Source organism: Homo sapiens, chromosome 4 (genome assembly GCF_000001405.40).
Source record: "Homo sapiens chromosome 4, GRCh38.p14 Primary Assembly".
NCBI lineage: Eukaryota > Metazoa > Chordata > Mammalia > Primates > Hominidae > Homo > Homo sapiens.
In genome coordinates, this window is record NC_000004.12 from 163,699,552 (window position 1) to 163,726,842 (window position 27,291).

The following is a 27,291-nucleotide window of genomic DNA, read 5'->3' on the forward strand; positions in this document are numbered from 1 at the left end:
CTCTAAATTGGAAGTTGATCTACTTTCTTTAATGTCTGAAGATTATGACTATTTTGGGGATCCTCTTCAAAGAAAGTAATATAAAATTACTAATATAAAGTTAATTTCAGGAATGTGGAGGGGTCCTGGCAATTGAGAAGCCTTGAAATGGAATCTCTAATGGTGACAAATCCATCTTGCTTCTAATTATATTTTTGAAAGTCATTGTTTTCCATTTTGACAAATGACTCTAAATTACTTTTCACTTCCCAAGCACCAGGTGTATATATCACATGGCGACTCATTTTAAAGAATAGCTCTTACATTTTGTTTTTTCAGGCAACATAAAATCTAGAGTATGTCTCTCAAACGATAATCTTTTCAACACTCTGGGGTCCTACTTAGATTTATATACAGTCTAGGGAATATTTTGTTTTTTTTTTTTAATCCACTGACTCTACAACCTCTAAATATGGCCAAACTGATGTTTTTATCAAATTGATTTCTAAAACTTGCCTTGGTGACAAAAATAGTTAAATTCCCCCAGAGTTCAGCCCAAAGTCCAGAAAAATTAAATTCATAAGAATTATACCATGAATGTTGATATAGTTTCAACTTGGATATGTGGCAGATCTATGGTGTTTGAAATGAGAGAAAAAACATACTTTACATAATACTATGACAGTAGCAAATTGGCCAGACATGGTGGCTCACTCCTGTAATCCCAATACTTTGGGAGGCTGAGGAGGGTGGATCATGAGCTCAGGAGTTCTAGACTAGCCTGGTCAACATGGCGAAACCCCATCTCTACTAAAAATACAAAAATTAGCTGGGCATGGTGGTGGGCACCGGTAATCCCAGCTACTCAGGAGGCTGAGGCAGGAGAATCGCTTGAACCCAGAAGGCGGAGGTTGCAGTGAGCCAAGATCTCACCACTGCATACCAGCTGGGGCGACAGAGTAAGACTCTGTCTAAAAAGATAGATAGAAAGAAAGAAAGAAGGAAGGAAGGAAGGAAGGAAGGAAGGAAGGAAGGAAGGAAGGAAGGAAGGAAGGAAATTATCTCTTGCACACAGCATGGAAAAAGAAAAAATAGCCTACTTATTTTCTTGCGTAAAATCATGTCTTCTTATTACAGTAAAAGCTTAAAAGAGTTAAAACCATGAACAAATCACATTTGTGTTCTGCTCACAGATAACAATTATAGGTTAAACATTATAAACATTTATGTGAACTCATGAAGTGCAGAAGTCAACAAACAAGAAAATGAGTACTTCACCTACTTTTGAAATGTTACTTGATCGACTTGCAGATCGCCCTGGGGATTTTTCATTCTGAAAAATAAAATGGGAAACATTAATTAAAAGAAGGTATGGTACTTTCACCATACTGTACCACTGAGAAGAGAAACCACAGCACAAGGAAATCTGTGAATGCTCTCTATATTGTTTTGACTAATACACATATTAATTGCTTACACAGAATGCTTTTTTCTTTTATGAAATCATATTTCTCTAATATATATTAGTGTACTTTAAAAATGCTTCAATTAATATCTGAGTATTAATCAGGTTACAAGTATTTGTTTCCAGGAAATAATTATTTCTCCAGAAAAATTTTTGAAATTCTTCGGCACTAAAATTAGACAGTAAAACTGTAGTCTACCATTTCCCCTCTTGCCCTTGCAACTAGGAAAGTTTGAGTCAATTCTGGTTTTCAATATCATTAAATATTCTGTGCTGGGTATATGCTATATACATCCACCTCGTATTCTTCTAAACTGCATTTTATTTATTTTTTGTTATTTTACATACTCTGAAATTAAAACATTTACTTTTTAAAATTTAAGATGCTTCTGACTGTATATGTTTCAATTAAAACTTAAAACTTTTATAAATATTTATATCCTCAGTTCTTTCCTCTTAAAGAATTTTTTTATTTAGCAGAAAAGAGGCATGAAAAAAGCTTTTGAATAAATGTTTTTTAAAAGGTCATATAATTTTAAAGTAGAAATGGACCTTAAGTAGTTGGGCCCTCCCGTTTGAAGCCCAGAGACATTGTGTTCCTGAAAATTATATAGCTACTTTTTCTACTCTGCCAATTATGTGCTGATAGATGATCAACTGGAAAAATCAGAGTTTATAAGCATTATGCATTCTACATGTAGAAAGAGATCAAAGATCAAAGGACACCTCTACTTCTGTAGAGAAAATGTTGTTGGAACAATCAATTCTGAATACTAAAAGTTTATAAAGGATCTGACATAACATTGTCATTGAAATAATTTACCAATGTAAGAATTCCTTTTGTTTTTTTTTTAACTTCTGGACTCAGCCCCAAAGTGGGCCTGAGTAGGCAACTGCAATGCATCTTGACATAGGTCATTTTTGAGAACTAAGTTGTTATAACAACCCGTGGGGCTGAAATTGCCCATGATGACTACTTGAGACAGTTTTAGAGACACAGTGATGACAGGATATGGCAGATGTGTTATTGCAGAAAAACAGTGGCTGCATTCACTGCAAACTGTCACTGTGTCATGTGCAGGCTTACAGATATTCCAGCTGAACAGTACTTTTTCCTTTACATGCAACATCCATCTCATACAACCACTGATGTCACTGTGGAGCATGTTATTACAGACCGAGATGAGTCACAACGATACGGTTAGTTACAGCTCATAACAGCCCCATGCTCCAGCTGGAGATTAATGTATATGCTACCACAGACATTTTTCCCTGATTAGCTCCACTGGTGATGGAGGGAGGCACTTTTCTACTGACGTCTCAACTCCTCTTCTAGAGACTAGAAAACAAAATCAATCCATCTTTCCTTCTCAGTGAAATTTAGGATTTTGACACATTATTGTGTAGGACAGAGTCACATAATATAATAGGCTTTGGGAGAGACTGGTAGCAGTGGTTATTTTGTTATGTTTTCTATATTTACATGACATTTGAGAACATGATTAAGAACTAGAATTGAAAGGTGCTGCCACAGGAATCACGCAAAATAAGAAATTTAATTTTGCATAGGATTACTTAATTTTTCACACTGAATGGGACTTTATGGTGTTTTGAGATAAAACAAGAAAGGCCAGATTCACTTTACAATGTGTGAGTTCACCACACAGTTATAATAAGAATATTATTTCCACACTCTCTACCAGCATCTGCCAATCTAATGGGGGAAAAGCATCTGATTGATTATTTAATACTTCAAAGGATCTTTTAACTTGAAATGGATTGGCTTTATTTTCTCCCAATATAAGGTCAGGCATTGAAATAAACAAACTTAGGCAAAGGTTAACCTTTTTGCCACGGCTACGTTCTCTATTGTTTCTACACCAGTACATGGAAGAGGAAAGTGCATCAGAAAAGTTAACACGTGGTAGGACAGTGGTGTACGCTATGCTGTGCTGGCAGTGATGTAAACTGAGAGACTGCCTTGCAATGAGAACTCTAGTGATGTGCTAATTCTGGCAGGAGTACATTGTTTGACATTCCTGGACTTCAATTTCCTCATTGTAAAATTGGGGAGATAATATCTTGGAAATCTGTGTAAGGAACAAATGAGTTATAAATGAAAACATTTTATAAATTGTGAAGTTATGATATTTCCATTATAATTCACAGGTATAAGAAACACTGAAAGAGCTTTCTTTAAAAATCATGGTGATCATCATAGGTCACTATACAATTTTTTTTTTTACATAAACATCTTATTTTCTATATCTTGCAATTCTGCCTTTGATTCTGGCACATAAAATTTAAAAATTAAAAATTAAATCATTCTCTGCCCAGGGGGATTAAGAAAATTGGTTTGCCTTGCTTTTGAAGCAAAGCACCAGAAACATTTCCTCTCTTGGAAAACGTCCAAAGCAATCTGTCCAATTTGCTACTAATTAATTGGGTGGCTTGTCCCATTACTATTGCAATGTCATACTCTTCTTTGAAGATTAGTCAATATGGTTGTCATACCTCATTACAATCAGTTTAACTACTTTACCTTAGATTAAAAATAAGCTGTCTCAGAATCTCAGAATCTAACATAACTTACTGGCACCCAAATTATAGTGACCTTGTAGGTCAATAAAAGTTGGAAGCAACAAGAGTTCCTAACAAGTCTGCGTGGAATGGAGAGGATCATTAAGCAGTAATGTTGGATTTCAGCATGTCATTCATAGTATACAGACAGGGAGAGAGACTTCCAGTTTCCTAAGTTTTATTGAAAATATTTTCAAGAAGTTTCTAATTTTTGGTTTGCTATGAATGTGTCTGATATTAATAGTTCTGTTTTGTGACTATTATCGTTTTTCAAAGTTGATCCTACTAAACATGGTTGGATTCTTTTTACTAGCAAGGAAAAATGATTACCAAATGAGAAAATCATTACCAAGTTTTGTTTTAACGAATTTTTAATGTTAGAGTCTAAGGAAAGTGACACAGTTCCTTTAAAACGAAGTGGTCTGTCCTAACAATACACAACATGACTGGACATGTGTGAATCTAGGTATAAACTTTCTGTATACTATGTCATTGACTGAGGGACATAATAAAGCTTAAAAAAGTTTTTTTTTAATGTAATATGAAAAAAAAATAAATATTTCTGCAAAAAAAAACACACTAAGACATTCTTACAGAGACCACTAATCTGATATTCTGCAATTTTATTTCCCCCCTTTTTTCAGGTTAAAAATCCCAAGTATTTGAAAGGAGAAACTAAGGTAATTTGGAGGGTCATCTGAAAAATTTTAAGTAGACAATAGAGCAGTTTTTGCTAGGGTAATTATAACTTGGAATAGAAGAAAAGTCTTAAACAATGTGGTTTGTAAATAAAAAATAAGCAAGGACATAGGGAAATTGAATACTGCAATAAAATTTGATTAAAAGATATATAAAAAATCTCATACCTATTAAGTTATAAACATTTAATGTCTATGAAACATTTAAAAATTATTTGACCTTAAATAATAGCTTAACAAATATGTCCAAGTAGAGACTTTACAGGGTCTTTTTTTTTCAATATTGAGCCAATACAATTAGAAATCCAATTTTGAAAAGTGACTCGTAAGTCTTAATCGCCTGACAATTAACTAAGATACTTTTATATAATACTTGGTCCAAAGGAATGAAAACTCTGAAATAGAGCCAGAAGCTATAGAATATATAATATTAAAACCTATAGCATATAGCAAAAGCTGTATCCAGATAACAGTTTATAACTGTAAATGTTTTCATTATTAAAGAACACAAGAACGTAATAAAAGAAACATAAAAGCTAAAACTAATTAAATTGATTTAAGTTAGAGAAAGGATAAAAAGATTTTCTTAAAGGAAGTCTTTGAAATAATTGCAAAATAGATGAACTTCCCATAAGACTTATTAAGGGAAAGAGAGAACAAAAAAAATGATATCAGAAATGATACATAATCATAGACACAAAAAACTATATAAAAAGAATGCTACATGTAACATTATTGCAACAAATATGAAAACCTAGAGGAAACACATTATATTTAAGTAAAGCAAAAATTCCCAGAATTTGTTCAAGAAAAAGAGAAAAACATAAGATAGTTAATCAAGGAAATATTCAAAAAGTAAATAAAAGTCTATATGCTCCTAAAATGGATAAGGGCATGCTGATTTTACAACCGAGCTGTATTTTACTTTAAAGAACACATAATTCCAATATTACGTATACTATTATTGTCATAGAAACATAAATATCCCTAATCCATATTATTAACATGGCGTAAATGAAACTTCAGATGTGTTAAGATAGTACTCCCTACCCCACCAAAAAAAACCAGTAGGAAAAAAAAAGGAAAAAAGAAAATTGTGCCTTGCTCTCATTTGGAACTACAGATGCAGAAAATGTTAAAAATTAGTGTATATTTTGATAATAGCATATGTCTTTGATACATGAGCAGTGTATCACTAAAATTCCCAAAGAATAGAATAAATAGAATTTACTTATTTCAGGTTTTAAAAACTCAGGACACCTGTCAACATAATCCGTTAGATTAATACATTGAAAGAGACAAACATTATGATTTTATAACTAAATTCTGGAAAGATATTTGACAAACTTTGGCAGTCTTATTCTAACATAAGCTCTAAGTAAAACAAGAATTGAAGGAAACCCCTTATAGTAATAAAGACAATATTCTAAAAAACACTACAAAATATAATGCTAATTGTTAAAATACAGAAACTACAAAAATTATAGAACCTCTATTAGGGGTGCTTGCTATAATTATTCAACTTGTTTTAGAGTTTTTAGCAAATATAACAAGGAAATGGAGTATTTGGTAGAAAAGGTGTTGAAAAAGAAGCAATACAACACTCCTTTCTTATTAATGACATAACATCTTAGAAATCCCAAGTGTCTCTGGTTAAGAAACAAAACCACTGCAGCTAATTAGACTTTATTACAGTACTTAGATACATGACAATTAGATAATGGCAGAGTCTACTAGGTTTCCTAAAATCCATTATCTCTTGCTTGTGCATTAAGGGAATAATAACTGAATATACACCTTCACAGTGGCATTATATCTCCCAGCCTTCCTTTGGTTATAGGTTGCCTAAGGTCAAATTTCCTCCAGTGAGATGTGACCAGAACTAACAATTGTCAGTTTCCTGACTGTCACATGAATCTCCCATATAATTTCTTACATGCTTTTTTCCTACTGCTCTATGCTGGGATGGAAACTATCAGGGCAAGACAGAAGGCCACAAATCAAAGATGGTAGAGCTGAATTCTTGTGGGTCTTTGAGTGACCACATAATGAAAAGCCTTCTGCCAACTTGGAGTACATACTCTAAACTCTCATCAGAGAGAAAAAAAGTGTATTTCTTGTGAGCCATTACATTTTTGATTTATTTAATATTGTGTCTATCCTAATGGAAACACTATAAAATCAATAGCTTTCTTTTAGCAATAAATATCCAGAAATGCAATAACAGAAACAAAAACCATAAAATACTTAGGAATAAACTTAACAAGGACATGAAATTTTATTTGAAAATATATTCTATAAAATATTACTGAGGAGTATAAATTGTGATCTGAACAAATAAAGTACCATACTTTGATGGGAAGATAATTTTCTAATATATAAACCCTCTACAAATTGACATATGAGTAGAATGCAGTTCCAATTAAATCTTCAATAGAATTTATTTCTTGTTTTCTGGAGAAGAAAGGAGGTAGATAAAATGATCTTAAAAAACAATGTTCTTAAAGAACTTATAAATAAAAACAAATACCTGAGAATAACCAAGAAAATAATGAAAAAAAGGAGAGCTTTTTATGCTAGGCATTGTACATATTAAAACTCACTATCATTAAGTCAATATGGTATTGGCATAGAAATTAACTGAAAGATCAGTGTAATCAAGAATAGAAAATCCAGAAATAGATGTAAGAATCTCACATATAAAAATTATTTCCAGTCAGTATTGAGGATAGTTGATACAATAAATGTTGCTGGACAACTGGCTACCTCTGTGGAAGAAAAAGCCAGACTTCTATCACTTAGCATATATAATCATGGAGTCCTGATGGAACAATGTCTTAAATGTTAAAGATTAAAAAATCTTTGAAATAAGTCTAAATTATGAATTCAGTCTTGGGGTGGGAAAGATTTACATAGCTAAGACACGAACCAGAAACTATATGTCATTGGTATATTTGATTATCCTCTGTCTAGAAAAATACAAAAAGTTAAAGTGAGTAAACAATTGTGTTAGTAAACAATGAAACACAAAAGACTGATAAAGTTTAATTTCTAGAATATGCAAACTGCTTTTGTCTATTCACAAGAGAGGCAACAGTAAGGAATCAAATAGAAAACAAATGAGCAAGAGATAGAAACAGAAATTCACAAAAAAAGGAATTACATATTGTCAATAAATATATGGCAAGATGCTCAAAATCACGAGCAGTCAGAAAAATGTAAATTAAAGTAGCAACAAGACATCACTTTTTACTCATCATGCTGAAAAAATTTAAGAGTGATAGCTTCTGTTGCTGATGGCAATAGGAAGAATGAATACTCTCAAAAATGCTAGTAGAAATGTGATTTTCTTCTGCAATATCATTGAAAAAACATCTGGCAACATATATTGAAATTAAAAATATCACTTCATGCAGTAATTTCACCCTTGGGAATCTCTCCCAGAGAAATACAAGCACTAGTATATAAAAATATGTGAATGAGGACACTTAATATACAACTCTGTTTTGAACTAAAAAAAAAAAAAAAAAAAAAAGAATCCCAGCAATAAAGATGGGACAGTTGTTAAGTTAATGTCTCAAAGCTTTAAACCCACTCTTCTAGCTTCTGTTCTGGGCTGGAACTCTACAAACTACTTTTCTGTTGTGCCATCTGACTCCCTACTAAGCTCTGCTTACTGGGGAGTGGGCACAGAGGGGGGCCACAGGGAAACTAGAAGGCTAGAAAAGGAAAACAGGATTTGCTCCATCTATTTGATTTCTATAGGCTTCTTGTGTTTGCATCATCCTAGAAATGCTTCTTCACCCTGGGAGTTAGTTGCAATCCCCCCCTGTAGCAGCAGCTGGCATCTAGATACAAGGTTTCTAACACCCTCAGAAACAGGCTCATTGTACTCTTTTGAAGACCAGCTGGTGGATTCTTAGAATTCTAAGAAGTTTGAGTTCCAGTTCTATGGGGCCCTCCTCCAAGCTTTTAATAATTTTAATTTCCTTCCCCTGTTCACTCAGACCTCGGGAGGATGGCTGCTTCCTACAATTCCTGCCTTTGTAACATCTTTGTGTCCTTATTTTTTTCCTTTCAGTTACCTAGTTAATGATCTTTTACAGCCAGGGAATATATCTTTATACTAAATTATCTGTGTTAAAACAAAAGGCATCATTTCTCCCTCTTGACTAACAGAATAAACAATGTTCATCAATAAAGAATTGTTAAGTAATTTATAGTAGAGCCAAACCTTGAAAATATCATGCAGTCATAAAAAATGAATTGGATCTCTGGCATTTGAGAGATTTCCATAAGGTAACTTCGAGAGTGAAAAGTAAAATAAGAAGTGATAAAATATGATTCTTTTAAAAACATACCAGGTTAGAACCTCTGTAAGTATATATGCATGCACATGTTTGTGTATAGACATGCAGTAGTCTATGACTATATGAGCATGGAAAAAGTCATGGAAAGTTATGCAAAAACTATATTAACATGAATTATTGGGTAGAGCAGTGGGAGGAAGGAAGAGAGGCCAGCAGGAGGGGAATGAAGAAAAGAGAGGAGATGGAGGGCAAGGAATCTTAAAAAGCAAAAGAGAATGTTAGAGCTCTGTTTTTGTAAAATTATATATGGGTATGATGTGCATACAGAAATTATAATGCAAATATGAGGTTATATCTTTCTCTACTGGTAAATGGTAATGTTCATGATATATTGTTAAGGTAATAAAGTTATAGAAAAATGTGTAGAGGACAATTCCATTTCTTTAAAAATAATGAAATAGATTATGTATAGAGAGTAATTCCATTTCTTTAAAAACAAACAGAACTCCTATATATGTCTACATATTTACAGATGTATGTTTGACTGAGCAGAAATATGTTAATCCAATCTTGGCTATTAACACTGCAATCTATGCACAATGGTTACCTTTAGTCCTTAGCATGGCGGGATTGAGGGAAGCAGGCAGGCCCATGGGAGTAGTCTAGCTTTTTCTTTAAACAACTTTGTGTATAAAGTTTCAGTTGTTTTAGGCCAGGCAAGCAGGCTCATACCTGTAATCCCAGCACTTTGGGAGGCCAAGATGGGAAGATAGCTTGAGCCCAGGAGTTCAAGACCAGCCTGGGCAACACAGTGAGACCTCATCTCTAATTTTAAAAAATAAAAAGAAATTAAATTTTAAAAGTTTACTTGTTTTTTATAATCTTTTAAACAATAGAACATCTAATTAAGAAACTCTGAAAAACAAAAATGGCAAAATTGGCCTTACTCAACAGAGTGTATATCATAAAGGTATATCTATGTGTGTTGTATGTATGTGTATGTAATCAAAAAGAGCTGCAAGAAACAGTTAATGTTCATATTCTCCAAGATGATACAGGACCTGGAATATACAGGCACTAAATTATTTATTCAGTCAAGTGGGATTGGTGGAAAAATCACAAGATTTGTAGTTACAACACTTGCATTAGAATTGCAGCTTCATAACTAACCATGTGATGGTAAGAAAATCACAGGCCTTCTCTACCTCTAAATTGCTGAACTTGCAAAATGCGTATAAAGACCCTTGCATGTTTACCTCATAGAATTTCTGTTGAAGCAAACATGGCAAACTTTGGACAAGTATATTTCAAATTGTAAAGCACTGTATAAATATAAACTAGGATTATTAAATTTAGATGTGCTAGAAAGATAATAAGGACAATTGCTTGTAAGTTGCCACATTTATTATTAAATTTTGCACTACGTAGAATTTTCTACAAACACTCCAAATTTTCTTAAAAATGAACATATCATTCCCTAAATGTCAAATTTAATGGGTAAACTTGCTAATCTCTTTATCTAACTTCAGGATCACTATGAAAAGTCTAGCAATTGTGACCAGAAGGCTATTTTAAAGGTACTTCTATACACCCCTTAGGACTTTTCCCTAAGTACAAGGCCAATACTTTGAAAAGTGGTGACCATTCAAAGACTATCCTATAAAAAGAAGACAGCTATCACAACAAGCCATCTGAATTTTGGTACAGATATTAAGTTGGTGTGAAATAATTTCTGTTTTTGCCATTACATTCAATGACAAAACCGCAATTACTTTTGCACCAACATAATATATTATGTACTTACACATTTATTAATCACGACCATGAATATGAGTTGTATTTATAATTGGGCAGTCCAAACAATTGTATTGGCTAGGAAATAATATCAAAAATATCTAAAGAAGAGCTCCCTTTTCTCCCTAAAAAATATTATTCAAAAGCATGTCCTTGCTCTACACACTTATAAAAGACTCTCTACTGATAAATGAGTTGCCATTCTGAACAAGTTAGTAATTGTAATTCCTAGGAGGAGAACCAAAGACTTTTTTTTTAAGTTTACACACTCTTGTACTGAAAATGTTTCAAACGGATTCTAATTTGGGTGAAAAGAAAAATAATATAGTAAAATGATCATTGGCTAAATTGTCAAAGCACCATGGAAAAAGCCTTGAGGACTGAATTCACACATCTTTATAGTAATGAAAGGATGGAAAATAAGGGCATTCAATGATTGCTAAAATGCAGAAGGTGATGATTTTACTTCAATTGCTTGTATGAAAAGGTGATTACTTTTTTTAAAGCAATATATAAAGTCAGGTTGGCATAAGCTTTTAGTGTAACACTTGTTGAACCTTTATAAAGGATGGTATATGGGCAGGTTTATTTTTTCCCGAAATTCTGTTTTATATGACTATGTTCACATGAGAACAAAAAACTTGCCACACCTCTGGTTGTTTCTTAGATGACCAGAGGTGTGGCAAACTTCTTAATAAGACAAACAGAAGTTTTGTAAATGACGTGTAATTTTTTGTAAATTACACGTCATTTACAAAATCCTTCTCTCACAGTAGTCTTCTTACTTAAGTTCACCCAAAGGAAAATCTGCCAGTGGTTTCATTCTGTAAATTTAATTTTCCAAAACAAAATGGAAAGACCCATTGCTTATTAATTAATTGACTGTTCCTTCCTATAAGTGCTTAACATTCCACTGAGTTTTAAGATCTTTATTTTTTTCTGTTGGAAATCCCAGTTTCAGTTATAATTAAAGTATCATGTTCATTTGCGTTTCAAATGTTATTTTCACAGGTGTGCTAGGTGTATCTTCCACCAGTCCGTGTAGATCCATGTCCCACTGTTCCCCACCCTGATCTGTGCCCAGGAGGCACACCCGGTTGGATCTCACCAAGGCTCCTTTGCTCCTGGCTTTCAGTTTCATTACACCAATGAGAATTAATGCAGAGTCCTGGTAGATTACAGGAATGGAAGAGGGTGAGTTTAGAGTAATTATCCCTTCCTTGAAGGATCACCACAAACTGACTTTGCCCCACAATTGGAGGTCTCAGTATTTGTCAGGTAGCTTTCTGCAAAAATGCCTCTCTTTCTCTGGGTTCTGGAAAATGCTACTTCTCCCTGCTTTTTCAAGACTATGGGTGACAACCACCCACTGCTGTTTCCACCCATGGGGTATACAACTATCTCTTATATTTTCAATATATTCTGCTCATACTCATTGCAAATTGACTATTAACTCTCCCCAAATTATCCAATTTGGAAATGCTATCTGTTTCTTTCTAGACCCCGATGGATAAAAGTCATCTTTAGTATTGTGTAGTCTTATCATTATTACTAATTTTTGCTATTTTTGTCACATTAATATCTTAGAAAGTTACTCTGGAGGTATAATCATATTTTATCAGAGTCTGCAGTGACTTAAAAACCTATCAAGTAGGTTTCAAACCACTTTCTGTATAAGAGTTATATTGTTTTCTTCTGTGGGTTTAAGATTGGAGACATGTTTGTAAAACAGACCACACATTATAGACCGACCATGTAAAATCTGCTGCATGGTGGAATGTTTTCATTAGTGTTTTTCATCCTGCATGCTATTAAAAGCACTTTAATGGCCATATATTTTTTAAGACTGTCAGGGAATTTGCAAGCTAGGTTTTTTACTAAATTCTGGAATTGGATTTAAAAGTTCTAAAACCTTCATGGGTCACACACACAAGTGTATGTATATGGGCAATGGCTTTCTTATGAAAAAATAAAAAGTTGTGTGTCAGTGCCAATCTAGACAATGCATCTGTTACCTGGAGGCATAAAATTTAAAAATACTAGATACTTTGTGATTCAAACAAAATAAATGTTGAGGAAAATGTATGATTCCTGCAAAGGTTGGTAATCCATCCTTCATGTAGAAGTGCTTCACTCATTTGTGAGGTCGTTACTTCAAACCTTTTTGTTCCAGTCTCATGCCTGACTTCTCTTCTTGCGTCTTACTCCATTATTCAACTCTTTCTTATTCCTCCCTTATGTCAGTAATATGTAAATAAATGAGATGAAATTTTAATCTTTGGATGTATACATTCTGGTTCTATAAAACAGCTGAGGATACATACGAGAATTTCCTGGTTGAACAAATAGACACAAGGACTTAAATACGGATCAGAACAAAGTGCCAGGAAAGTTGATACTGCCTGTGTTTCAGGTTTTGCCCTCAGTGTCACTTATGGTCAGGTCCATTTCTGACAATCCCTTGTTATATAATAATATTGGCCTACCAGGAAGTCTGGAGTCACAAGTCTTAAGACAACATTTTACAGAGCTCTTCTAAGAGCCTGAAAAGCAACCTTAGTTTTCATGAATGCAAATTTCATACACCATGAAAAAAATCAACACAGCTGAATTGTTTCTATATTATGAATCCTATTGTTTCTACAGTAGCTTCGACTCATCTCCTTTCATCATTTTCTGTCTCTCTTCATTATTTAGAGTATTCCCTTATTAAGCTATTTTTAAAAACAAAAAAAATCAAATTTAACTTGCACCCTAGATAAGAATTTTAGAATTCTTGTCCATTATTATTGGATTAATTATTGGAAAAATAGTAGAAGGTAGGAAAATAAGTGGCCACTTTCCGGCCTATAGAAACATCAAATTTAATCTTTTTACATACCAGCTCTCTTGGATCCAAGAGGAAATAAATAGAAATGTCACTAGAGAATTATTACTTCATATAGTATTCTACTAATAAATAAAAAATTTGCCATAATGCCTGGGTCCAAATCCCAACTATACCACTTGTGGTGCAATCCTAGGCAAGTTACTTATTCACTCATGACTTCTGTTTATGCATCTGTAGAATCATGATAATAGTACAGTCCTCTCAATGTTGCTGTAAGAATTAAATAAGTAAATGGGATTAAGTGTTTAGCATGGAACATAATGTGCTACACAAATGGTAGCATAACCAATCTTGTATTTTATGTGAACTTTACATCTTGTCTACATACAGCCTGTATGCCATTATATTAAAGGCATAGCTGTTAGAAATAGAAGTTCTGAAGGCATTTCTTCTAAATGTAAAAAAATTAGTTTCAGAAATATGCTATAAAATATTTATCAATAAAATTAAAACCACTCCCTTTAGATCTCACCTATGGATAGTGGGAGAGGTGTGAGACCCCAGTAAGGATAAGGACACTGGAACAGGATGTCTGCCTCAGACTTTCACCTGTATGATACAACCAAAGCCTCAATGAACCTTGGTCACTTCTCGAAAAGTCTTCATAAGTTGGCAATACATAATGAAAATATGTGCCTATTGTAAACAGGTGGGAAGAAATGAAGACATGAAAGAACAAACACATAATAAGCTTATAATAATAACAAATAAGCATAACAATAAATTTGCAGTAAGATTGTACGTAGTTGAAATTATAAATCAGTTCACCACCCACAAGCTATGTAACCTTGAGCCAGTTGATTTACATTTCAGTGTCTCATGTTATTCTTTCACTGGGTTTTTAATATTTAGAAATATTATACACACAGGGTTCAGTAGGATTTCTGGCACATGTTTCCATAAAGAGCAATAGTTATAAGGATTGGCTTGAAAATGGAATATTTAACCATTCATCTTCCATGAAAAACCCAATTCTCCATTACACACATAGGGGCCATTCCAAATAAATATGCAATGTAAGTTAAAACACTGTGTGTGCTATATAAATTGCTGTGCAAATACTCTAGCTCCAATTCTATCTATCTTACTGCACTCGAACTTCTTTTAAATAGAAATCCTGGCCACTCACTGTCCATAAATAGCTTACTGCTAATGAAATCAGTTTGGGGGTAAGTTTACATGTATTATTCTACCACCATTACTTAATAAACTGTTTCTCAATGGAAGAGACTATATTTCAATCACATTTACTTTCTTTAACACAATACCTGCCTGGAATATCACAGATGTTTCATAAATTAAGTAGGACGGTAATTCTACATGTTGGATTCAGAGACATATTAGCATAGTCATTCTTGAGAATAGTAGGTGGGAAGTATACGACAATTAACATGCTATTTTATTTTTCTTTTTATTCTTTTATTTTTTTAAGACAGGGTCTTGCTCTGTCACCCAGGCTGAGTGCAGTGCATGGTTCACTGCAGTCACCACCTCCAGGTTGAAGTGATCCTCCCACCTTAGCCTCAACAGTAGCTAGGACTACAGGCACATGTCACTTTGCCTGGCTAACTTTTTTAAAAAACTTTTTATTTTTTGTGGAGGCAAGGTTTTGCTGTGTTGCCCAGGCTGGTCTTGAACTCCTGGCCTCAAGTAATTTTCCTGCCTCAGCCTCCCAAAGTGCTGAGATTATAGGCATGAGCCACTGCACCCAGCCTATACACTGTTTTATTCACGAATAATTTATTTGATTTTATTTTTATAGAAAAAAGTCACATCTGTTTTTAAAATGTGTCTAAATTAGAAGCCACAAAGATAAAACGCCATTAAATGGATTTTGGTCATAGTATATTATAATTTGGATTTAACATACAGTATTATCAACTCTTCCATGTGGTACTATTTATGAATGTTTGGCAGCAGTATTGGATTAATCAGAGGCAATCATACTTTGACCTAGGATGATGAGCTGAAATTTTATTTTACTTTATTTTATTTTGAGACGGAGTCTCGCTCTGTCACCCAGGCTGGAGTACAGTGGCGCGATCTCGGCTCACTGCAAGCTCCACCTCCAGGGTTCACGCCATTCATCTGCCTCAGCCTCCCGAGTAGCTGGGACTACAGGCGCCCGCCACCAGATGAGCCGAAATTTTAAAAAGAGGTTGCAAGAACAGTGGCCTCACGTGCTTTCAAAATGTTACCTGAACTTCTAGTATTGTAAGCTATACTGCATCTGTATTAGCTGACTCTCCCCAAGCAAAGGTATTTTCTTTTGTGTATTTGTGCTTCTTTGGGTTTATAAAGTGTTTCTAAGATTTCTACCACCCAGATGCAAAAATCTGAAGGAGGTGAATTTTAATCTCAGTGGAAATTACTGAGATCCAATATATGTACATACTATGGCAAAAAAGATGATGAACTAATGACTATTCAAGACATCTGAATTTCTCATAATAGAAATACTCACTAGGGATAAAATAAAATAAATAAGGGCTAGTGTATCTGCTGAAAATACTCTGCTCCAATCTCAAAAACATAAAGGCATTAATGCCTTTGACCACAAGCAGATTTTTAAAAAACGTAATGAATTTTCAAACAACACTCCATGGGATGAATTAAAATCAACACTTCCTAGATATCCAGTTATAATAATATAGTTCAGGAAGCAAGTAACTTTCTAAAATTTTTGACAAACATAAAAAACGTAAAGTACAGAATTTTCATCAAGATAATGCAAGAAGATGGATATGTGCTGTCATCAAAATACGGGTGATCCAAAATAAAGCAGTGTAACTAAATTATTGTTTATTACCAGGAAAATCCATATACTTATGTAACTAGCTTTCTGAAACTCCTAATGGAAGAACAAAATTGAACTTTTATGATGGTTCTTTACTTGGCAACATGTTCCAGGAGGCATCTTAATCTGGTAAATGTAATTCAATTTATGTAAACAACAACAACAACAACAACAATACAAGTATTCAATATGTATGATAATTTGGATTTAGTCCTAATTTTAAAAATAAGTTTCAGAATACAAAATGCACAATATTATGTTTATTTGTACGGTGTACCTTGCAAATTGCCTCCTGAGTATACACAAGGGTCATTTCATGACTTTCCAGATGAAAATACTGACATTCTTAGGTGTTGATGCTAGACAGAATTACAGTTAAGTTAAACTTAGGCATCCTGCAAACTCGACAAATTCATTATTCCTATAAAAACACAGGCAGAAGCTCAACTTACAAACAGGTATAGAGAATTAATAATGTTAAATTATTATTAATACACGCCTTTTGCCGAGGAGTCCAGAGGACATACAGTGGTGTTTGTTATTGTAGTGTTGTTCGCTCATTTGCACTATAGTAGCTCCACACCCATGATTGGTGCTTCAGGGACCAGTGCCAAAATCACCAGTGGGCAGCTGGCAGGGTTGGGATGCAGCCATGTGCAAAAGAGTATCACCTAACAATCAAAATGCACACAGAACTGTCAAAGTTTGAGTTGGTTGTTGAACAGCAACTCTGGTTCCACAAACTATTACAAATCCAGAGAGATTTTCTTTGTTGTTATTCCCAATAGGCAAATTAGCAATCTTCTTGTTAATTGTTACATAAGAATAAACATTTTAGGTTAATAATACATATTAATTTTTTATTATTTTACTGTTTTATTATTAAATTTAACACTTATTAAAATCTACACATACACATTTATTTTATTTACTTATTTATTTTTATTATACTTTAAGTTTTAGTGTACATGTGCACAACGTGCAGGTTTGTTACATATGTATACATGTGCCATGTTGGTGTGCTGCACCCATTAACTCGTCATTTAGCATTAGGTATATCTCCTAATGCTATCCCTCCCCCCTCCCCCCACCCCATAACAGGCCCCAGTGTGTGATGTTCCTCTTCCTGTGTCCATGTGTTCTCATTGTTCAATTCCCACCTATGAGTGAGAACATGCGGTGTTTGGTTTTTTGTCCTTGCGATAGTTTGCTGAGAATGATGGTTTCCAGCTTCATCCATGTCCCTACAAAGGACATGAACTCATCATTTTTTATGGCTGCATAGTATTCCAGGGTGTATATGTGCCACATTTTCTTAATCCAGTCTATCATTGTTGGACATTTGGGTTGGTTCCAAGTCTTTGCTATTGTGAATGCTGCTGCAATAAACAGATGTGTGTGTGTGTCTTTATAGCAGCATGTTTTGTAATCCTTTGGGTATATACGCAGTAATGGGATGGCTGGGTCAAATGGTATTTCTACTTCTAGATCCTTGAGGAATCGCCACACTGACTTCCACAATGGTTGAACTAGTTTACAGTCCCACCAACAGTGTAAAAATGTTCCTATTTCTCCACATCCTCTCCAGCACCTGTTGTTTCCTGACTTTTTAACGACCGCCATTCTAACTGGTGTGAGATGGTATCTCATTGTGGTTTTGATTTACATTTCTCTGATGGCCAGTGATAATGAGCATTTTTTCATGTGTCTGTTGGCTGCATAAATGTCTTCTTTTGAGAAGTGTCTGTTCATATCCTTCACCCACTTTTTGATGGGGTTGTCTGTTTTTTTCTTGTAAATTCGTCCTGGAGGCATCATGCTACCTGACTTCAAACTATGCTACAAGGCTGCAGTAACCAAAACAGCATGGTACTGGTACTAAAACAGAGATATAGACCAATGGAACAGAACAGAGCCCTCAGAAATAATGCCACATAGCTACAACTATCTAATCTCTGACAAACCTGACAAAAACAAGAAATGGGCAAAGGATTCCCTATTTAATCAATGGTGCTGGGAAAACTGGCTAGCCATATGTAGAAAGCTGAAACTGGATCCCTTCCTTACATCTTACACAAAAAATTAATTCAAGATGGATTAAAGACTTAAATGTTAGACCTAAAACCATAAAAACCCTAGAAGGAAACCTAGGCAATACCATTCAGGACATAGGCGTGGGCAAGGACATCATTTCTAAAACACCAAAAGCAATGGCAACAAAAGCCAAAATTGACAAATGGGATCTAATTAAACTAAAGAGCTTCTGCACAGCAAAAGAAACTACCATCAGAGTGAACAGGCAACCTACAGAATGGGAGAAAATTTTTGCAATCTACGCATCTGACAAAGGGCTAATATCCAGAATCTACAATGAACTCAAACAAATTTACAAGAAAAAAACATTTATTTTAATTTAAAATCAAATTATACTGACATAGTGCCAAAATAACTGCTCTATGAGATCAATAAATCCAATCTATTCTGATGTAGAAAGGCAAAACCCATGTGTGTTGCTTTGTAATAGTAACCAAACAGTCATTATGTTTCAGCCATTTCAGGAACATATTTGTGATTGTTGTATATTGATTATGACTCTGGTCAGTTGTGGTTAACAAGCCTTTTTTTTCCTTATACTTTGTTTTTTCCAAGGAGCCTATTTTGTTTTATAGCATGGTTGGACTTTTGCCTAGAACATTACAAATGTGTTCAATATAACCAGTATTTATCCCAACTTTCTGAAGAAGAAACTTCTCCTATTTAACTCCAACCTCATGACTCTTCTCTGATATTGTTCCAGCCGTAGGTGTTAGCATCTGCTATTGTAAAATCTTTTGTGTTGATTGGTGAGGACTGAGGTGAGGACCAGAGCCAAGATCACTTTCTACATGAAATATTATACAGTTCTGCCACATGTCCAACTCTATAAATTACTAGAAGTTTATGGAAGTGGGTATATCTTCAAGCTCATCTTTTTTATTTATTATACTTTAAGTTCTAGGGTACACGTGCACCATGTGCAGGTTTGTTACATACGTATACATGGGCCATGTTGGTGTGCTGCACCCATTAACTCGTCATGTACATTAGGTATATCTCCTAATGCTTTCCCTCCCCCCTCCCCCAACCCCATGACAGGCAGTGGTGTGTGATGTTCCCCTTCCTATGTCCAAGTGTTCTCATTGTTCAATTGCCACCTATGAGTGAGAACATGCAGTGTTTGGTTTTTTGTTCTTGCGATAGTTTGCTGAGACTGATGGTTTCTAGCTTCATCCATGTCCCTACAAAGGACATGAACTCATCCTTTTTTGTGACTGCATAGTATTCCATGGTGTATATGTGCCACATTTTCTTAATCCAGTCTATCATTGTTGGACATTTGGGTTGGTTCCAAGTCTTTGCTATTGTGAATACTGCCGCAATAAACAGATGTGTGTGTGTGTCTTTATAGCAGCATGTTTTGTAATCCTTTGGGTATATACGCAGTAATGGGATGGCTGGGTCAAATGGTATTTCTACTTCTAGATCCTTGAGGAATCGCCACACTGACTTCCACAATGGTTGAACTAGTTTACAGTCCCACCAACAGTGTAAAAGTGTTCCTATTTCTCCATATCCTCTCCAGCACCTGTTGTTTCCTGACTTTTTAATGATCGCCATTCTAACTGGGGTGAGATGGTATCTCATTGTGGTTTTGATTTACATTTCTCTGATGGCCAGTGATGATGAGCATTTTTTCATGTGTCTTTTGGCTACATAAATGTCTTCTTTTGAGAAGTGTCTGTTCATATTCTTCGCCCGCTTGTTGATGGGGTTGTTTTTTTCTTGTAAATTTGTTTGAGTTCTTTGTAGATTCTGGATATTAGCCCTTTGTCAGATTAGTAGATTGCAAACATTTTCTCCCATTCTGTAGGTTGCCTGTTCACTCTGATGATAGTTTCTTTTGCTGTGCAGAAGCTCTTTAGTTTAATTAGATCCCATTTGTCAATTTTGGCTTTTGTTGCCATTGCTTTTGGTGTTTTAGAAATGATGTCCTTGCCCACGCCTATGTCCTGAATGGTATTGCCTAGGTTTTCTTCTAGGGTTTTTATGGTTTTAGGTCTAACATTTAAGTCTTTAATCCATCTTGAATTAATTTTTGTGTAAGACGTAAGGAAGGGATCCAGTTTCAGCTTTCTACATATGGCTAGCCAGTTTTCCCAGCACCACTGATTAAATAGGGAATCCTTTCCCCATTTCTTGTTTTTGTCAGGTTTGTCAAAGATCAGATGGTTGTAGATGTGTGATATTATTTCTGAGGGCTCTGTTCTGTTCCATTGGTCTATATCTCTGTTTTAGTACCAGTACCATGCTGTTTTGGTTACTGTAGCCTTGTAGTATAGTTTGAAGTCAGGTAGTGTGATGCCTCCGGCTTTGTTCTTTTGGCTTAAGATTGTCTTGGCAATGTGGGCTCTTTTTTGGTTCCATATGAACTTTAAAGTAGTTTTTTCCAATTCTGTGAAAAAAGTCATTGGTAGCCTGATGAGGATGGCATTGAATCTGTAAATTACCTTGGGCAGTATGGCCATTTTCACGATATTGATTCTTCCTATCCATGAACATGGAATGTTCTTTCATTTGTTTGTGTCCTCTTTTACTTCACTGAGCTGTGGTTTGTAGTTCTCCTTGAAGAGGTCCTTCACATCCCTTGTAAGTTGGATTCCTAGGTATTTTATTCTCTTTGAAGCAATTGTGAATGGGAGTTCACTCATGATTTGGGTCTCTCTTTGTCTGTTATTGGTGTATAAGAATGCTTGTGATTTTTGCACACTGATTTTGTATCCTGAGACTTTGCTGAAGTTGCTTATCAGCTTAAGGAGATTTTGGGCTGAGACGATGGGGTTTTCCAAATATACAATCATGTCATCTGCAGACAGGGACAATTTGACTTCCTCTTTTCCTAATTGAATACCTTTTATTTCTTTCTCCTACCTGACTGCCCTGGACAGAACTTCCAACACTGTGTTGAATAGGAGTGGTGAGAGAGGGCATCCCTGTATTGTGCCGGTTTTCAAAGGGAATGCTTCCAGTTTTTGCCCATTCGGTATGATACTGGCTGCGTGTTTGTCATAAATATCTCTTATTATTTTGAGATATGTCCCATCAATACCTAATTTATTGAGAGTTTTTAGCATGAAGGGTTGTTGAATTTTGTCAAAGGTCTTCTCTGCATTTATTGAGATAATCCTGTGGTTTTTGTCTTTGGTTCTGTTTATATGCTGGATTACGTTTATTGATTTGCATATGTTGAACCAGCCTTGCATCCCAGGGATGAAGCCCACTTGATCATGGTGGATAAGCTTTTTGATGTGCTGCTGGATTTGGTTTGCCAGTATTTTATTGAGGATTTTTGCATCGATGTTCATCAGGGATGTTGGTCTAAAATTCTCTTTTTTTGTTGTGTCTCTGCCAGGCTTTGGTATCAGGATGATGCTGGCCTCATAAAATGAGTTAGGGAGGATTCCCTCTTTTTCTATTGATTGGAATAGTTTCAGAAGGAATGGTACCAGCTCCTCCTTGTACCTATGGTAGAATTCGGCTGTAAATCCATCTGGTCCTGGACTTTCTTTGTTTGGTAGGCTATTAATTATTGCCTCAATTTCAGAGCCTGTTATTTGTCTATTCAGGGATTCAACTTCTTCCTGGTTTAGTGTTGGGAGGGTGTATGTGTCCAGGAATTTATCCATTTCTTCCAGATTTTCTAGTTTGCTTGCGTAGAGGTGTTTGTGGTATTCTCTGACGGGAATTTGTATTTCTGTGGGACCGGTGGTGACATCCCTTTTATCATTTTTTATTGCGCCTATTTGATGCTTCTCTCTTTTCCTCTTTATTAGTCTTGCTAGTGGTCTATCAATTTTGTTGATCGTTTCAAAAAACCAGTTCCTGGATTCATTGATTTTTTGAAGGTGTTTTTGTGTTTTTATCTCCTTTAGTTCTTCTCTAATCTTAGTTATTTCTTGCCTTCTGCTAGCTTTTGAATGTGTTTGCTCTTGCTTCTCTGGTTCTTTTAATTGTGATGTTAGGGTGTCAATTTTAGATCTTTCCTGCTTTCTCTTGTGGGCATTTAGTGCTATAAATTTCCCTCTACACACTGCTTTAAATGTGTCCCAGAGATTCTGGTATGCTGTGTCTTTGTTCTCATTGGTTTCAAAGAACATCTTTATTTCTGCCTTCATTTCATTATGTACCCAGTAGTCATTCAGGAGCAGGTTGTTCAGTTTCCATGTAGTTGAGCGGTTTTGAGTGAGTTTCTGAATCCTGAGTTCTAGTTTGATTGCACTGTGGTCTGAGAGGCAGTTTGTTATAATTTCTGTTCTTTTACATCTGCTGAGGAGTGCTTTACTTCCAACTATGTGGTCAATTTTGGAATAAGTGCGATGTGGTGCTGAGAATAATGTATATTCTGTTGATTTGGGGTGGAGAGTTCTATAGATGTCTATTAGGTCCACTTGGTGCAGAGTTGAGTTCAGTTCCTGGATATCCTTGTTAACTTTGTCTCATTGATCTGTCTAATGTTGACAGTGGGGTGTTAAAGTCTCCCATTATTATTTTGTGGGAGTCTAAATCTCTTTGTAGATCTCTAAGGACTTGCTTTATGAATCTGGGTGCTCCTGTATTGGGTGCATATATATTTAAGATAGTTAGCTCTTCTTGTTGAATTGATCCCTTTACCATTATGTAATGGCCTTGTCTCTTTTGATCTTTGTTGGTTTAAAGTATGTTTTATCAGAGACTAGGATTGCAACCCCTGCCTTTTTTTGTTTTCCATTTGCTTGGTAGATCTTCCTCCATCCCTATATTTTGAGCCTATGTGTGTCTCTGCAAGTGAGATGGGTTTCCTGAATAAAGCACACTGATGGGTCTTGACTCTTTATCCAATTTGCCAGTCTGTGTCTTTTAAGTGGAGCATTTAGCCCATTTACATTTAAGGTTAATATTGTTATGTGTGAATTTTATCCTGTCATTATGATGTTAGCTGGTTATTTTGCTCGTTAGTTGATGCAGTTTCTTCCTAGCCTCAGTGGTCTTTACAGTTTGGCATGGTTTTGCACTGGCTGGTACCAGTTGTTCTTTCCATATTTAGTGCTTCCTTCAGGAGCTCTTTTAGGGCAGGCCTGGTGGTGACAAAATCTCTCAGCATTTGCTTGTCTGTAAAGGATTTTATTTCTCCTTCACTTATGAAGCTTAGTTTGGCTGGATATGAAATTCTGGGTTGAAAATTCTTTTCTTTAAAAATGTTGAATATTGGCCCCCACTCTCTTCTGGCTTGTAGAGTTTCTGCTGAGAGATCAGCTGTTAGTCTGGTGGGCTTCCCTGTGTGGGTAACCCGATCTTTCTCTCTGGCTGCCCTTAACATTTTTTCCTTCATTTCAACTTTGGTGAATCTGACAATTATGTGTCTTGGAGTTGCTCTTCTCGAGGAGTATCTTTGTGGCGTTCTCTGTATTTCCTGAATTTGAATGTTGGCCTGCCTTGCTAGGTTGGGGAAGTTCTCCCAGATAATACCCTGAAGAGTGTTTTCCAACTTGGTTCCATTCTCCCCATCACTTTCAGGTACACCAAACAGATGTAGATTTGGTCTTTTCACATAGTCCCATATTTCTTGGAGGCTTTGTTCATGTCTTTTTACTCTTTTTTCTCTAAACTTCTCTTCTCGCTTCATTTCGTTCATTTGATCTTCAATCACTGATACCCTTTCTTCCAGTTGAACGAATCGGCTACTGAAGCTTGTGCATTTGTCACGTAGTTCTTGTGCCATGGTTTTCAGCTCCATCAGGTCATTTAAGGACTTCTCTACACTGGTTATTTTAGTTAGCCATTCGTCTAATCTTTTTTCAAGGTTTTTAGCTTCTTTGCCTTGGGTTCAAACTTCCTCCTTTAGCTCGGAGAAGTTTGATCGTCTGAAGCCTTCTTCTCTCAACTCGTCAAAGTCATTCTCCATCCAGCTTTGTTCCATTGCTGGCGAGGAGCTGTGTTCCTTTGGAGGGGGAGAGGTACTCTAATTTTTAGAATTTTCAGCTTTTCTGCTCTGTTTTTTCCCCATCTTTGTGGTTTTATCTACCTTTGGTCTTTGATCATGGTGATGTGCAGATGGGGTTTTGGTGTGGATGTCCTTACTGTTAGTTTTCCTTCTAATGGTCACGATCCTCAGATGTTGGAGTTTGCTGGAGGTCCACTCTAGACCCTGTTTGCCTGGGTATAAGCAGCAGAGGCTGCAGAACAGCGAATATTGCTGAACAGCAAATGCTGCCTGATCGTTCCTCTGGAAGCTTCGTCTCAGAGGGGGACCCGGCTGTGTGAGGTGTCAGTCTGCCCCTACTGGGGGGTGCCTCCCAGTTAGGCTACTTGGGGGTCAGGGACCCACTTGAGGAGGCAGTCTGTCCGTTCTCAGATCTCAAACTCCATGCTGGGAGAACCACTACTCTCTTCAAAGCTGTCAGACAGGGACATTTAAGTATGCAGAGGTTTCTGCTGCCTTTTGTTTGGCTATGCCCTGCCCCTAGAGGTGGAGTCTACAAAGGCGGGCAAGCCTCCTTGAGCTGCAGTGGACTCCACCCAGTTCAAGCTTCCTGCCACTTTGTTTACCTACTCAAGCCTCAGCCATGGTGGGCGCCCCTCCCTCAGCCTCGCTGCCACCTTGCAGTTTGATCTCAGACTGCTGTGCTAGCAATGAATGAGAATCCGCGGGCGTGGGACCCTCCAAGCCATGCATGGGATATAATCTCCTGGTGTGCCGTTTGCTAAGACCATTGGAAAAGCGCAGTATTAGGGTGGGAGTGACCCGATTTTCCAGGTGCCGTCTGTCACCCCTTCCCTTGGCTAGGAAAGGGAATTCCCTGACCCCTTGCACTTCCCGGGTGAGGCAATGCCTCGCCCTGTTTCAGCTCACACTCAGTGGGCTGCACCTACTGTCCTGCCCCCACTGTCCAACGATCCCCAGTGAGATGAACCCAGTACCTCAGTTGGAAATGCAGAAATCACCCGTCTGCGTCGCTCACGCTGGGAGCTGTAGGCTGGAGCTGTTCGTATTCAGCCATCTTGGAACTACCCCATATATATTAATTTATAATGGCTCTAGAAAATCTTAAATGTTCTAGAGTGGCATAACATTATAGTTTATTTTACTGATAAGTTCATATTTCAAGAATTACAGAAAGGGGTAATAAAAGTAGTGGCATAGTGTGGGCAACATGGTGAAACCCCATCTCCACAAAAAATACAAAAAAGTTAAGTGGGTATGGTGGCATGCACCTGTAATCCCAGCTACTCAGGAGGCTAAGGTGGGAGGATCACTTGAGCCCAGGGAGTGGAGGCTGAAGTGAGCCATGATTGTGCTACTGCACTCCAGCTTGTGCAACAGAGTGAGACACTATCTCCAAAAAAAAAAAAGTAATAATAACAATAATGACATAAAAAGAAAATATGAACAAAAAAAGTATGGTAATATAGAAAGTAATGAATTCAAGTGATAATGAATTATACATTTTCCATTCAATAAGTGCTTTAAAATTAATTTAAAACTAAACCCTGTAGTTTTTCATAGTCTATGGTTGTAAGACAGTATAGAACAGCATGTCAGGGCACAGAATCTCAAGTCAGAAAGTCCCTAGCTCTAGTGTTGGATCTATTATTTGTCAATTAGCTCTGCAATCTTGGAAAACTTATTCAAGCTTTCCATGCCTGTTTATCGTTAGGTACCTGTCCTGAAAGAATTAAATGAGATATTATGTAAAAGTTTTTAGCCTAACATACAGTTAATGTCTGTTTTTGTTAATTTTTACTAAACAACTATGCTTAGGATGACATCTTATGATTTCCAATCATCTTCTAATAATGTAAAACTGTAATAAATTGATAACAAATATAAGCTACTACTTACCTTTACCATTTTTTTCTTTTTAGTCTTTTTAGAACAGTTTTAGGTATAGAGATTTCCCTTATATCCCCCATCCCTACATATATACAGCCTCCCCACTATCAAAATCCTGTCCCATTTGTTACAATTCATGAATGTACACTGACACATCATTATCACCCAAAGTCTCTGGAGTTCATTTGTGGTGTTGTATATTCTACGGACTTTGACAAATGTATGATAACATGTATCCACCATCATAGTATTATATGTTAATAGTTTCACTTTCCTAAAAATCTTCTGTGCTCTGCCTATTCATCCCTCTCTCCCCAACCTCTGGCAACCACTAATTCTTTTACTGTATTCATAGTTTTGCCTTTTCTAGAATGTCATATAATTGAAATAATAAAGGATGTAGTCTTTTCAGATTGACTTCTTTCACTTAGTAATATGCATTTAACTTTTCTACATGTCTTTTCATGGCTCACCAGATCTTTTTTTAGGTCCTTAATATTCCATTGTCTGGATATTCCACACTTTTTTATTCACCTACTGAAAGGCATCTTGTTGTTCTTAAAGCTTTGGCAGTTATGAACAAAGCTGCTATATGCATTCATGTGTAGGTTTTTGTGAGGGCATACATTTTCAACTCATTTGGGTGAATCCAAAGAAGCACAATTACTAGACTGTATAAGAGTATGTTTAGTTCAGTAAGAAACTCACAAACTATCTTCTAAATTGGCAGTTCCATTTTGCATTCCCAGTAGCAATAAATGAGTGTTCCTGTTACTCTGCATCCTGCTACATTTGGTGGTGGTGTTTTGGTTTTGTCCATTCTAACAGATGTATAGTGATATTGTTTTAATTTGCAATTTCTTAACGACAT

At 35.8% G+C, this 27,291-nt stretch overlaps 1 protein-coding gene across 6 annotated transcripts in view; it reads right to left on the bottom strand.

Annotated features, from left to right (window-relative positions):
- Positions 1–27,291, bottom strand: part of MARCHF1 (membrane associated ring-CH-type finger 1) — an 859,722-nt gene that overhangs the window by 175,254 nt on the left and 657,177 nt on the right. For all 6 annotated transcript variants that reach the window (XM_017008336.2, XM_017008335.2, NM_001166373.2 and 3 more), the window contains one exon: positions 1,262–1,312. In XM_017008336.2, coding sequence (XP_016863825.1) covers positions 1,262–1,312 — 51 coding nt within the window. The remainder of the gene's footprint in view (positions 1–1,261; positions 1,313–27,291) is intronic.